The 14,218-nt window shown below is 41.9% G+C and overlaps 1 protein-coding gene, 1 long non-coding RNA gene and 1 pseudogene across 7 annotated transcripts in view, besides 4 other annotated features; 1 reads left to right on the forward strand and 2 right to left on the reverse strand.

Annotated features, from left to right (window-relative positions):
- Nucleotides 1–14,218, reverse strand: part of AMN1 (antagonist of mitotic exit network 1 homolog) — a 58,038-nt gene that overhangs the window by 43,547 nt on the left and 273 nt on the right. For 2 of the 6 annotated variants that reach the window (NR_103522.2, NM_001278412.2), the window contains exons 2-3: nt 4,535–4,673; nt 199–268 (exon numbers count right to left, since the gene is read on the reverse strand). The exons of 3 other annotated variants lie outside the window; for them this stretch is intronic. The gene's annotated coding sequence lies outside the window, so the exon portion shown is untranslated. The remainder of the gene's footprint in view (nt 1–198; nt 269–4,534; nt 4,674–14,218) is intronic. One more of the 6 variants, XM_017018965.3, reaches the window with a different exon arrangement.
- Nucleotides 361–1,191, reverse strand: STMN1P1 (stathmin 1 pseudogene 1; annotated as a pseudogene).
- Nucleotides 784–923: an enhancer, noted in NCBI's record as "active region_6173". NCBI's record gives its function as "activates an Ori minimal core promoter by ATAC-STARR-seq in GM12878 lymphoblastoid cells {active_cell/tissue: GM12878}" and the evidence as "EXISTENCE:reporter gene assay evidence [ECO:0000049][PMID:35858748]".
- Nucleotides 3,885–4,392: an enhancer, noted in NCBI's record as "H3K4me1 hESC enhancer chr12:31871502-31872009 (GRCh37/hg19 assembly coordinates)". NCBI's record gives its function as "activates a minimal SCP1, AML or CMV promoter by ChIP-STARR-seq in naive and primed H9 embryonic stem cells {active_cell/tissue: H9 hESC(naive and primed)}" and the evidence as "EXISTENCE:reporter gene assay evidence [ECO:0000049][PMID:30033119]".
- Nucleotides 4,393–4,899: an enhancer, noted in NCBI's record as "H3K4me1 hESC enhancer chr12:31872010-31872516 (GRCh37/hg19 assembly coordinates)". NCBI's record gives its function as "activates a minimal SCP1, AML or CMV promoter by ChIP-STARR-seq in primed H9 embryonic stem cells {active_cell/tissue: H9 hESC(primed)}" and the evidence as "EXISTENCE:reporter gene assay evidence [ECO:0000049][PMID:30033119]".
- On the forward strand, nt 9,106–14,207 carry LOC105369722 (uncharacterized). Its single transcript, XR_931497.3, has 3 exons — nt 9,106–9,234; nt 9,885–9,956; nt 13,974–14,207. It is a non-coding gene; the product is annotated as an uncharacterized LOC105369722 (long non-coding RNA).
- Nucleotides 14,127–14,206: a silencer, noted in NCBI's record as "silent region_4329". NCBI's record gives its function as "represses an Ori minimal core promoter by ATAC-STARR-seq in GM12878 lymphoblastoid cells {active_cell/tissue: GM12878}" and the evidence as "EXISTENCE:reporter gene assay evidence [ECO:0000049][PMID:35858748]".

A 14,218-nucleotide genomic window follows, 5' to 3' on the forward strand; every position in this document is an offset into this window, starting at 1 on the left:
TTGAAAGAATATAGCAACAGCTGATCAGGGTCCAGGCATTGAAACAAAGCAATGATTGTAGAAGACAATACAAACAACTCTGGAGCAAGAAACTCAAAAGCAGAGACTTTGCAGTAATGTGTATGCTGGTTATTTCCATTGACCTAAAAGCTCTACCTGAAACAAATATAAACTAGGAGGATCTTTTTAACTTATTACCTGAACAGAAAGAAGTCACTGCCACCAACAACATTGTGCAATTTTATTAACCATTCAAGTCCAGTAGCATCTGGTAAAATTAGGACAGAATTGGGATTAAAAAATGAACAAATATTCCGTATCAAACAGTTCAAAAGAAGCCACTACATACTCTTTTCACAAATATGTTTCACAAAGCCAGTACAGTACTAGCCATTAACCCAAGTGTACTGAAGTAGCAAAGATGCAACAAGAAAAATAGCTATGTTAGAAAGACCAACATTTTAGAAAAAGAGTAAAACTCTTTCAGTTTCTTCCCTTTAGCTCCTAAAACAACATTGTACAGGCTGGATTTACCTATCTAGTCCTACATCAGCTTCTAGAATATTTGTCAGGAGCAAAAAATAAAATGACACTGGCCAGTATAGTCTGAATATCTAGGAAGAAGAGCGGGGAGAAAGTCAGTTCTTAGAACAAATTAGTCAGCTTCAGCCTCATCACCAGGATCTCTGGATTCTTTGCTCTTCCGCATTTCTTCAACGTGCTTATCTTTCTCTGCAAACACTCCAGTGTGGTAGTCATTTGCGCCTTCCTGTTCTCTTTGTTAGCTTCCATTTTGTGGGTCAGTTTCTCTTCTGCTATTTCACTGAAGCTGTTCTTTTATTGATTTCTGAAGCACTTCTTTCTCCTGCTCTCATTTTTCAGCAAGCTGCTTCAAGGCCTCAGCTTCGCAGGGCTTGTGTCTTTCTTCTGAAGCTTCTGATTTATTCTGAATTTCCTCCAGGGAAAGATCTTTCTTCTTTGGAGGGGAAATAAGGAACTCTGGGATGGATTCTTTTGATGGTATCTGAGAATCAGTTCAAAAGCCTAGCCTGAGGCACACTTCTCCAGTGCTTTCACCTGGATATCAGAAGTAGCCATGATGAATGAAAGACAAGAGACTGGCAGTGTATTCTACAAAATCCACTGGGATAAGGAAAACTCTGCTAGATCTGAGCCACCTGACCACACTCTGAGCTGTTTTCTGTATTTATAAAATTTAAGAGTAGTTTATTAAGTTTCCTAACGTGACTAAATTTGACTAAACTACATGACAGGTTTCCTTTTTGTAAGACTGGTGTCAGTTGCAAATTCATGATATTTTCTTGTGGAATATTCCTTTTATCATTAAGTAATGTCTCTCTTTATCCGTATTCATGTTTTTCACTTTAGAGACTATTCTGTTTGATTTCAGTATTGCTCCATCATTTTTCCATGGTTTCTTTTGCTCAACATTATGTTTGTGAAATTTATCTGTATCGTTACATGTAGCTATAGATTATTCATTTCCATTTTCACGTTGTTCATGTCCATTTTCACTAACGTATAATATTCTGTTGTTTGACCAATTTATTCTACAGTGAATATACAGTTGGGTCATTTGTAACTCTTTATTATTATGAATATCAATATGAATATTCTTAGACATGTCTTTTGGTACACACGTATCTGTGTTTCAACTGAGTGTATATATCTAGTAGTGGAACTGCTGGCTCATAGGGTAGGCATATGTTTAGCTTAATGCCAGTTTTTCAAAGTGGTTGTACCCAATCACAATCCTACCATTGGTGAATGAGCATTCTTGTGGTCCATATCCTTGCCAACACTTGGCATTGTTAATCTTTTAAATTTTAGTCATTTTAGTGGGTATATAATAGCAATGCAATGTGGCATTAAATTGCAATCTCTGATTAATATGGGTACACATTCATCTTTTTATTGTCTGGTTGGATATCCTCTTTTGTGGAGTATCTACTCAAGTATTTTGCCCTCTTTCATTTTGGGTTAATTATGTTTCTTACTGATATATAGGAATTCCTGTTATATGCTGGATATGAACCTTCTGTTTGTTATATACGTTGCAAATATATTCCCCCATTCCGTGGATTGCCTTTCCACTTTCTTAATCATGTCTTTTGCTGAAGAGAAGTACATTCTAATACAGTCCAATTTATCAGTGTTTTCCATTACAGCAGGTGATTTTTTGTCCTGTTCATAAACTTTCCCTGTCCTAAGTTCATGAAGATATTCTCCTATGTTTTCTTCTACAAGAATTCACTAAGTTTATTGTTTCACCTTTCCTTTTTGACTTACAAACCACCAGGAACTGATTTTTTTTTTTACATTTTTATTTAAGTTCCGGGATATACACCTAGGTATTAAGCCCCACATGCATTGTCTATTTGTCCTGATGCTATCCTTTCCCTTGCTCCCCCCAACCACAGGCCCCGGTGTGTGTTGTTCCCCTCCCTGTGTCCATGTGTTCTCATCATTCAGCTCCACTTATGACATGCGGTGTTTGGTTTTCTGTTCCTGTGTTAGTTTGCTGAGGATGATGTCTTCCAGCTTTATCCATGTCCCTGCAAAGGACGTGATTTCATTTCTTTTTATGGCTGCATAGTATTCCATGGTTTATATGTACCACACTTTCTTTATCCAGTCTATCACTGATGAGCATTTGAGTTGGTTCCATGTCTTTGCTATTGTGAATAGTGCTGCAATAAACATATGTGTGCAATAAGCAAACATTCATTGTAATAGAATCATTTATATTCCTTTGGGTATATACCCAGTAATGGGATTGCTGGGTCAAATGGTATTCCTGGATAAACACATTCGTTATGAAGAAAGATTAAATAAATTCTTCTCTAGTGTCAAGCTACTTTAAACTTGTTTTAATTCAAGACTCTTCTGTGGTGCCTTCTAATCTGTCTACAGACAGTCTAATTTAATTCAGTCTTATTTAATTCACAAGAGGCAGTATCAGAAACTGGGATTTCTTGGTAACTAAGATTTATAGTTAACTTTTTTTTTTTAATTTTACTTTAAGTTCTGAGATACATGTGCAGAACATTCAGGTTTGTTACATAGGTATACATGTGCCATGGTGGTTTGCTGCCCCTATCAACCTGTCATCTAGGTTTTAAGCCCTGCATGCACTAGGTATTTGTCCTAATGCTCTCCCTCCCCTTGTCCCCAACCCCCCGACAGGCCCCAGTGTGTGATGTTCCCCTCCCTGTGTCCATGTGTTCTCATTGTTCAACCTGAATTTGAATGTTGGCCTGTCTTGCTAGGTTGGGGAAGTTCTCCTGCATAATATCCTGAAGTGTGTTTTCCAACGTGGTTCCATTCTCTCAATCACTTTCAGGTACACCAATCAATCGTAGGTTTGGTCTTTTCACATAGTCCCATATTTCTTGGAGGCTTTGTTCGTTTTCATTCCTTTTTCTCTAATCTTGTCTTTGCCTCTTATTTCAGTAAGTTGATCTTCAATCTCTGCTATTCTTTCTTCTGCTTGATCAATTTGGCTATTGATATTGTATATGCTTCATGAAGTTCTCATGCTGTGTTTTTCAGCTCCATCAGGTCATTTATGTTCTTCTCTAAACTGGTTATTCTAGTTAGCAGTTCCTGTAACCTTTTATCAAGGTTCTTAGCTTCCTTGTGTTGGGTTAGAACATGCTTCTTTAGCTTGGAGAGTTTGTTATTACCAACCTTCTGAAGCCTACTTCTGTCAACTCGTCAAACTCATTCTCTGTCCAGTTTTGTTCCCTTGCTGGCAAGGAGTTGTGTTCCTCTGGAGAATAGGCATTCTGGTTTTTGGAATTTTCAGGCTTTCTGCTCTAGTTTCTCCCCATCTTTGTGGTTTTATCTACCTTTGGTCTTTGATGTTGGTGACCTATGGATGGGGTTTTGGTGTGGATGTCCTTTTTGTTAATGTTGATGCTATTCCTTTCTGTTTGTTAGTTTTCCTTCTAACAGACAGGCCCCTCAGCTGCAGGTCTGTTGGAGTTTACTGGAGGTCCACTCCAGACCCTGTTTGCCTGGGTCTATAGACCTGTCTGCTGCCTTTTGTTCAGATATGCCCTGCCCCAGAGGTGGAATCTAGAGAGGCAGTAGGCCTTGCTGAGCTGTAGTGGGCTCCGCCCAGTGTGAGCTTCCTTGCCACTTTGTTTACACTGTGAGCATAGAACCGCCTACTCAAGCCTCAGCAATGGCAGACGCCCCTCCCCCCGCCAAGCTCCCACATCCCAGGTCGATCTCAGACTGCTGCGCTAGCAGCGAGCAAGGCTCCGTGGGTATGGGACCTGCCAAGCCAGGCACAGGAGGCAGTCTCCTGGTCTGCTGATTGGGAAGACCGTGGGAAAAGCGCAGTATTTGGGCAGGAGTGTACAGTCACTCAGAGCTTCCCTTGACTAGGAAAGGGAAATCCCCCGACCCCTTGCACCCAGGTGAGGCGACGCCCTGCCCTGCTTCAGCTCGCCCTCCGTGGGCTGCAGTCACTGTTCAACCAGTCCCAGTGAGATGAACCAGGTACCTCAGTTGGAAATGCAGAAATCGCCCATCTTCTGCGTCAATCTTGCTGGGAGCTGCAGACTGGAGCTGTTCCCATTTAGCCATCTTGGAAGTGACCTCCCAATTTCTTTTTAATGATATAAAATCTTTCCTAAGCATCACTAGGATCAGAAAAGCAAATTTTTCAGAAATTTCAAAAATGTAGAGAAAAGGTTAGACATTTTGTTAGGGAAGTAAAAATATATACAATTATACACATATAAAATTATATTTGTTCTGGAATATACAATATGTTATTTGTATTGCTCACTGTAGATCTAGTGATTGTAAGAACTTATGTAGCATTTTATCAAGCCTCCCTATCTCTTTAGAGACTTCAAAGACTTCAGAAAGGTATGGAGAACATCAAATGTTGGTCAAGATGGTAGTCAACAGGAACTCTCAAACATTGAGAGTAGGCATGTAATTTGGTACAAGCATCTGAGAAAACTGTTTGGCCTTATCTAGTAAAGCTAAAGATGTATAGATCCTAAGATCTAGCAATTCCAGTTGGAGGTATCAACCCTGGAAAACCTTGCACTTTTGAGTCAGAAGATGTAGACAACAAAACTCACAGCAGCATTGTTTGTAACAGAGAGAACTAAAAACAACTCAAATTACCATCCACAGTAAATAGAATGAATTACAATATAGTTATACAATGGAACCTTTTGTTTGTGCAATTTATTCAAGTGGTTGCATGCGGCCACAGTTCATTTCGTTCTCAATATATGTTATAATATATAGATGATACATGTATGTGTGTATATATATATTTCATTGTGTGAATATACTACATTTAATTTTTCCATTCCGTTGTCATTTGACATTGTCAACATACATTGCTTTACTTTTTTCTTTTAAAAAGTTGAGATGAAAGATAATATGAAATTAATCATTTTACAGTGTGCACTTCAGTGGCATTTTGTACATTTACAATGTTGTGCAACTACCACCTGTATCTAGTTCTAAAACATTTTCACCAGCCCAAAAGAAAACTTATCTCTATTAAGAAGTCAGTCCCTGCCGGGTGTGGTGGCTCCCACCTGTAATCCCAGTACTTTGGGAAGCTGAGGCATGTGGATCATCTGAGGTCAGGAGTTCGAGACCAGCCTGACCAACATGGTATAACCCCATCTCTACCAAAAATACAAAATTAGCCGGGTGTGGTGGCAGGTGCCTGTAATCCCAGCTACTTGGGAGGCTGAGGCAGGAAAATCGCTTGAACCATGGAGGAAGAGGTTTCAGTGAGCTGAGATCGTGCCACTGCACTCCAGCCTGGACAACATGAGTGAAACTCTGTCTCAAAAAAAAAAAAAAAAGTCAATCCCCATTCCTCCTTTTTCTCACAAATACCAATTATGGGTTGTAATACCTCAGAACTACCAATTTGCTTCCTGTCACTATTGATTTATCTGGATTTATACAATATGTGGCCTCTGTGTCTGGCTGCCTTCAATTAGCATCATGTTTTCAAGGTTTATCCACATTGTAGTATGTATCAGTATTTCATTCCTTTTTACAGCTGAATAACATTCAACTATACAAATATACCACATTTTGTTTATTGATTCATCAATTGATGGACATCTGTCTGGGTTTTTCTACCTTTGGCTAATGTGAATAATGCTGCTATGAACATTCATGTACAAGTATTTGAGTACCCAGTTTCAATTCAACTGGGTATAGACTTAGAAGTCAAATTGTAGCAGAATTGTAGGCCAAGTGTAGTGGCTCATATCTATAATCCCAGCACTTTGGAAGCCAACGTGGGAATATCTCTTGAGTCCAGGAGTTTGAGACCAGCCTCATTTATTTGGTTGAGCCACAGGTGAGCAGTCTCTCAAAACAAAAGTGAATGCAGAGCCTTGCCTAACAGTGCAAAGCCAGCTGCTTATATATCTGGCTCCTGCGACAGTCTGATTTGATTGGTGAGGATGATGGGGTGCTGGGCATATGGGTGGCCGAAATTATCAAGGACCGTGGAGTAAAATGTAGCGGTTTCCACTGGGGAAGAAAAAGAAGGACTTCCGGGTTTGGATGCTCAATGGGAGGTACCCAGGGGAGGAAGCTGGGTATCTGATGCTCAGGTATCAATACTGGGGTGGCATCAATACAGGAGTGGACAGCAAGAGGGAAATATCATCCTCAACACCCTCAGCATTCCCTGTGAGCCAACCTCCCTGCCACTCTGCATTCCCCACACTTCCAGCTGGTGAACAGCAGTCTCCTGTTGGCTGTTGCTATAATTCATAACTTGGGCACACATTAAGCTCCTTGGTCTCTGATCCCTTAGGGGAAAAAGGCAACCAAATGCAACTGATGAGGTCTGGGTAAAGTCTTCAGTGGGGAAGAGAGGCTAAAGTGACACTGCAGGTGGAGCCTACAAAGTTTGCCAATATCTGCCTTAGTCAACAAACAACACGTCCTTGGTCAAGGCATATTATATTTTTACTGACTCTTGGGCTGTTGACAATGTTACCTGGTCTGCCACTTGGAAGAAAACAAACTAGCGGATTACAGACACTCCTCTTTAGGACTGTGAACTGTGAAAACAAATCACAGCAGAGAATCAGACAGATGTCCATGGTAATGGCTCATTCTCTAATGGAATAGACTGCAATGATGCTGCTAATCAAGTATACACCATCCAGACTGCTGCCACTGCTGCCAGGATCAGCAGTCTGCACACTGTAACAACACACTGCACATAGCAACATTATCTGCCATCATGGCCTAGGAACAGAGTAAAGATTACATGTATCTGACGCTACCATTGCATGCTGGTCTTGTGCTTCCTTTCAAAAGTCAGCCTGTTTTGTCTCAGTGAAATAGACCGTATTTTATGGTGTGTGGTCCCTCTTACTTCTGACAAGTTGACTATATCAGGCCTTTGACACACACACACACACACACACACACACACACACACACACACACACCTGGGGCTATTGTTAATGTGTTACAGTTGTTGACATTTTTTCGGGTTATGGTTTCATTGTTCCAGTCTGTTCAACCAACGCCAGTCACACTGATCAAAATGTGTTATGTTTTTGGTTTTCCAGACCACTTTCACTCTGACAATGATATGTCTTTTACTGCGCAGAGGTTGCTCAACAATGAGCCAATAAGTCAAGGTATTCAACGGATATTTCACACCCCTTATCATCCTTAGGGTGTTGGCTCCAACAAGAAGTAAAACGGACTTTTAAAAAATCCACTAAAAGAAATTTCTGACTCTACCTCCTTCACACTCTCCTGGTCCATGCATCTTAGTAAGGTAGTTTGGTCACAAAAAAGGCACCCTGAAAGGGTTCATAGTCTCCTAGCCACCTCCTATATAATGATCAGGATGAAAAGGGGAGGGTTTGCTAGACTTAGTCTGATATTCTGGGATTCCACTCTGACAATTCCTGGGCATGATATGCAGCTTTCTTTCTCCAAACAATGACTCCAAGTCAGCCTGGTTGGTACACTCTCTGGGTGGCAGTCTGGCAAAAGGGAACTTAGGAAATTCAAACTTAATTCTGGTTCAGCCACCTGGATTCTCTTGTTGTACTGAAACCTGGATCAGGGGTCAGCAAACTATGACCTGTGGGACAAATGTAGCCAGCTGCTAGTTTTCAGAAATCAAGTTTTACGCCTGGCACGGTGGCTCACACCTGTAATCCCAGAACTTTGGGAGGCTGAGGCAAGCAGATCACCTGAAGTCAGGAGCTCAAGACCAGGCTGGCCAAGCTGGTGAGACCCTGTCTCTACTAAAAATACAAAAAATTAGCCAGGTGTGGTAGTGCATGCCTGTAATCCCAGCTACTTGGGAGGCTGAGGCAGGAGAATCACTTGAACCTGGGAGGCAGAGGTTGCAGTGAGCTGAGATCGGGCCACTGCACTCCAGCCTGGGCAACAGAGTGAGACCTCGTCTCAAAAAACAAGAAAGAAATCAAATTTTATTGGAACACTGCCTTTGACTGACACACACACAAACACACACGCACACACACACCACCCCTGGGGCTATTGTTAATGTGTTACAGTTGTTGACATTTTTTCAGGTTATGGTTTCATGGTTTCAGTCTGATCAACCAACTCCAGCCACACTGATCAAAGTGTGTTATGTTTTTGGTTTTCCAGACCACTGCGATCTCGGCTCACTGCAAGCTCCGCCTCCTGGGTTCACACCATTCTCCTGCCTCAGCCTCCTGAGTAGCTGAGACTACAGGCGCCCGCCACTATGCCCGGCTAAGTTTTTGTATTTTTAGTAGAGACAGGGTTTCACCATGTTAGCCAGGATGGTCTCGATCTCCTGACCTCGTGATCCACCCGCCTCGGCCTCCCAAAGCAGACCACTTTCACTCTGACAATGATAGGTCTTTTACTGCAAAGGTTGCTCAACAATGAGCCGATAGTCAAGGTATTCAACAGATGTTTCACACCCCTTATCATCCTCAGGCTGCTGCCATTTCTTTATGTGTTGTCTGTGGCTGCTTGTGTTCTACAATGGCAGAGCTGAGTAACTGTGTCAGAGGGTGTGTAGCCTACAAAGCTGAAAATATTACTCTCTGGCCCTTCACAGAAAGGTTACCAACTCCTGCCCTAGATAACAAAGATAACTACCACTTGGTTGAGGATACTGCTCACCAAGTACCCCTACAGTGACCCACACCAGTCAAGCAAGGAAACAAGGTAAGTCTGTGTAAACTTTATAAAAATGCTCTTGTTCCTCTTGCACATGACCTCTGTGAGTAGGGGATTAGAGAAAAGTAAAGCATTTGAAGTGACTGACAATCACTCCTGTTATATAGCAGATCCCCTTTATCCATGGGAAAAACATTCTAAGACTCCCTGTGGACACCTGAAATCATGGATAGTACTGAATCCTAAATCCTATATATACACCCTGCATTTACTATGCAGACATACCTGTGGTAAAGTTTAATATATAAATTAGGCACAGTAAGAGATGAACAACAACAACAATAAAATAGAACAGTTATAACAACATCTACAAGGATTGGGTGGAAAAATAAAAAATACATGTAACAATATGCCAGCATCAGTACTCTTGTGCTCTGGTGCAATTGTTAAGTAATATCAGGGTTATGTGAATGCAGTAGCCCTGCGACAATAGCTCTGATAACCAAGAAGGCTACTAAATGGACAGCATGGATATGCTGAACGAAGGCAGAATTCACATCCTGGGCAGACAGGGCAGGGTGGCATGAGATTTCATCATGCTACTCAAAATGGTGCATAATTTAAAATTTATGAATTGTTTCTTCCTAGAATTTTCCATTTAACATATATATATATTTTTTTACCATGGTTGACTGCAGGTACCTGAAACTGCCGAAACAAAACAGCACATAAGGAGAGACTACTGTATTTTGCTTTATGCAAGATTTCAGGTATATTTCAATATGTTACCTTTTTCCTACAACATGGCTCTCTGCCCCCCACCGCCACCTTTTTCTCTCAGTCTCTTTCATCTTAGCCCTTTAGTATGCTCTTCTCTGAGCTCAGCAGTGCAGAGGCTGTACCATGTGTTTCCCAAAGTAAATGGTTTCCTCTTTCTGCTCCAGTTCCCTCCAGCTGCAATAGCAGGGAGTTGGGACAGAAACAAATCAAATAGTTCTTAAAATTCTGGGAGGACTATTGAATGGCCACAAAGCCCATCCAGAAACCCTGCTGGTCAAACAAATTGATTAAATTTGTCAAATCATGTATTACATTTACTACAGCAAGGGAGATCATCTTGACAGGGTTTTGGTAGCATTTCAATAGAGGAATGTTAGGCAAGAGTATACATAAGTTTCTGGGATATAAACGCCACCAGTTTAAGTGGGTGCTTCTCCCCCCACAGTGGCGAATGGGTAAGGATTAGGCAAAGTTTGTGACTTAGTTTAAAACGGATGGACACAAAAAGCCAGGCTTGATGAGCAATCTGTCCAGATAAACATAATGTTTGTCCTAAAAATCAAAATGTTTGTCCTGATAGCTGTTTATTTAGATAAACTGATTTGCAAAAATTTCCTAGAGCAAAAAGTTAGGTTGACATAAGTGGTGTTGATTCTCAGGCCCCACAGTTGGCACAGGCAGTCTCATTTCTCAAGACAAAATGAAAAGAAGTCAGCTAAAACTTATAATCTTTAAAAGCTGTAAAACAATTGGGGAGACGGGTGGATATCCCAACCAATAATAGTTGCTCTACGTTTTATACTTAAAAGAAACAACCTATTACTATTTGGCCAAATCATCATATGGTGAATTGATCTAACAAATAAAAGAGTTTTGGCAACATGGACTGCTTCTAATGTAAGTGTTACATAAAATTTTGTCCTTGACTTTCTTTTTTTCTCTCTATAGCCCTCTTTTAAACTTAACCATGGCTTCCTATCATCTACAAAGTTATACCCCCAATCTTAGTTTCAATCCTTGATCTCTCTTCATTTTATTTGTGTATTTATGTATTTATTTATTTAGAGATGGAGTCTCACTCTGTTGCCCAGGCTGGAGTGCAGTAGCACCATCTTGGCTCACTCCAAGCTCCGCCTCCTGGGTTCAAGCAATTCTCCTGTCTCAGCCTCCCAAGTAGCTGGGAATACACATGTGCACCACCATGCCCAGTTAATTTTTTTTGTATTTTTGGTAGAGACAGGGTTTCACCATGTTGGCTAGGCTGGTCTCGAACTCCTGACCTCAAGTGATTCACCTGCCTCGGCCTCCCAAAGTGTTGGGATTACAGGCATGAGCCACTGCACCCAGCCTAATCCTTGATCTTTCTTTCAGATTCAAAATTATATTCTAACTGCCTGCTTGATATTTCTACTGGATATTCTGATTCATTTTCCCCGTAAGACACTTCTTCCTCCATAATAGTCTAATCACCATTCTACCTGTCAACGAAGCTAAAACTAAAAGAGTAATTTCTTTTTTTTTTTTTTGGGGGGACGGAGTTTCGCTCTTGTTGCCCAAACTGGAGTGCAATGGTGCAAGCTCGGCTCACCGCAACCTCTGCCTCCCAGGTTCAAGCGATTCTCCCACCTCAGCCTCCCAAGGAGCTGGGATTACAGGCATGCACCACCACGGCCGGCTAATTTTGTATTTTTAGTAGAGACAGGGTTTCTCCATGTTGGTCAGACTAGTCTCGAACTCCCCACCTCAGGTGATCCACCTGCCTCAGCCTTCCAAAGTGCTGGGGTTACAGGCGTGAGCCACGGCCCCCAACTAAAAGAGTAATTTCTAATTCTTCTCTTTCCTCGGTCCCTCTATTCAAAACTATTCATGTCCCAGATCCAAAGGATTCTCTAAAGCAGTGTTAAAGTGCTGGTCAGTGAGGAGATAAGGAGTTTATGCAAGAACATAAACCAAGCCCTGTTTCCTTCATGGAGAAAGCCTCATCAGCTGGACTAAATAATGTGCTTAGTGACACACTTAATTACTAGTCTGGCTCAAGCTTCTTACTTTGTTACAAACCAGAAATAGCTTGCTGACCAACTGCCAGTCTCAGACTGTACCTTGTCCCAGAAGGGTACAAAATTAGGTTCTAAGGGCAAATATGGACCTTTACCTAGGGACCACACTCTAGCATGACAATGAAGATCATGTAGTCATCCCTGTCTTAGCCCCAAGTTCTGAAGAATTTTTCTTAACATTGTTAGTCTGTTTCCTCTTTTTTTCACTAAGCACTGTGTTTTAAAATTCTATCCAAATGAATCTACTCTTTGCTTTTCTTTCATTTATTTATCTATTTATTTATTTATTTTGAGACCAGGTTATGAGATTGGCTAACTTTTTATTTTTGGTAGAGACATGGTTTTGCCATGTTGCCTAGACTGGTCTCCAACTCCTGGCCTCAAGCAATCCACCCTCCTCAGGGTCCCAAAATGTTGGGATTACAGGTGTGAGCCACCATGCCTGGCCTACCCTTTGCTTTTCTAACAGCTGCATAATATTCCATGGTAACTCTCCCATTCCAGCTCCATGCCACCAGAAATAATTCTGCAAAGAACATCTTCATGTGTCTCCTGGTTTGGGCTCTTCACCTCTTAAGATTTTGTAACAGTCTTCTAAGTGTCTCCCTATTTCCAACTTCTGCCTAATTCAAATCTCTCTCTGCTCACAGTACAGTTCTAAAACCTTTGATAGCTCCCCATGACTGAAAGAGGAAATGCTCTTACTTCATCCTGGTCCCTAAGATTCTATTCCCAATGACCTGGCTTTATGTCTCACTACTGTGCTATTCATATTGTATCTTCCATTCACATTGGAGCGCTACTTTCTGGTCTTCTCTCATATTTCTACCTTTCCTGCCTGTCAAACCTTTACTCTTTTTATTTCACTCTCTACGATACATTTCCTCCCATTTGCAACCGTCAGATACTACCAATGTTCAAAAATAACCCCCTTGACAAAGCTTTCTCCTATTCTTTTCCTTATTAGAAATTTCAAAAGTTTGTTACTCTCCCGCTTGTGATATTATTCTACATATATTATAGTTATTTATTTTATTTTTTTGAGACAGTCTCGCTCTGTCGCCTAGCAGCCTAGGCGTGCAGTGGCGCGATCTCAGCTCACTGCAACCTCTGCCTCCTGGGTTGAGGCGATTCTCCTGCCTCAGCCTCCAGAGTAGCTGGGACTACCGGCGCCACTACTACTCCTGGCTAATTTTTGTATTTTTAGTACATGCCGCGGTTTTGCCGTGCTGGCTAGGCTGGTCTCCAACTCTCCTGATCTCAAGTGCCTCGGCCTCCCAAAGTGCTGGGATTACAGGCGTGAACCACCGTGCCCAGATAATTTTTGTATCTTTAGTAGAGGCGGGGTTTCGCCACGTTGCCCAGGCTGGTCTCGAACTCCTGAGCTCAAGCAGTTCTCCCACCTCGGCCTCCCAAGTTTAATGTAAAATATCAGATGCCATTGTTTCAGAAAGCCTTCAGTAGATTAAGGAGATTGTTCTCCTTATCCTTAAGATGTCTATTTTTTACATGGCAATATTAACGGACTGAAAGCTCCTGGAGAGACGCAATTGCCCTTGTAACTTCCATTTCCGTACAATTTCTGGTAGGAAATAATAATAACAATAACACTTAGTGGTGTTTATTATTTGCTGGGCATCCTTATAAGGGTTTTACATGTTTTAAATTTATCCCTCAGGACAACTCCATGTGATGGGTGCTATTATCACAAAAATTTTATAGATAAAGAACCTAGGCACAGGGAGAGGTTACGTTACCGGTCCATGGTCACGTGGCTGGTGAATGGCAGAGCCGGGGGCTGAACCCAGCAATCTCAGCCAGGGATCCGTGGTCTTAACCACTTTGTTACCTTTATCCCAGGGTCTGTCAATGTTTATTCCAGTTACAGGGGTGGAATTCTGCTAGAAGCTTTTGAGAACCTCATCTAGCGTTGTGTTTTTTTCTACCAAGGCTTTTAGCTGCTAAGAGAGAGGCCACTGCCAGTAACAGCCGGGGCGCCGAGCTGTCAAGGCTGACGGAGGAATGGACGCTCATCGCGCAGCGGAGTGTTGGAGGGGCAAGCCCGCCAAGAGACCCACTTTGCACAACTGTCCTCAGCCAGGAAACGACAGATCAGGAACCCAGGGACAGAAACACACGCGGGGCCTCTTCAGAGGTCGGCGGGGGGGGTGGGAAAGGGGCGGGGAGGAAGAGCA

The sequence above is a fragment of the Homo sapiens genome, chromosome 12, assembly GCF_000001405.40.
Source record: "Homo sapiens chromosome 12, GRCh38.p14 Primary Assembly".
NCBI lineage: Eukaryota > Metazoa > Chordata > Mammalia > Primates > Hominidae > Homo > Homo sapiens.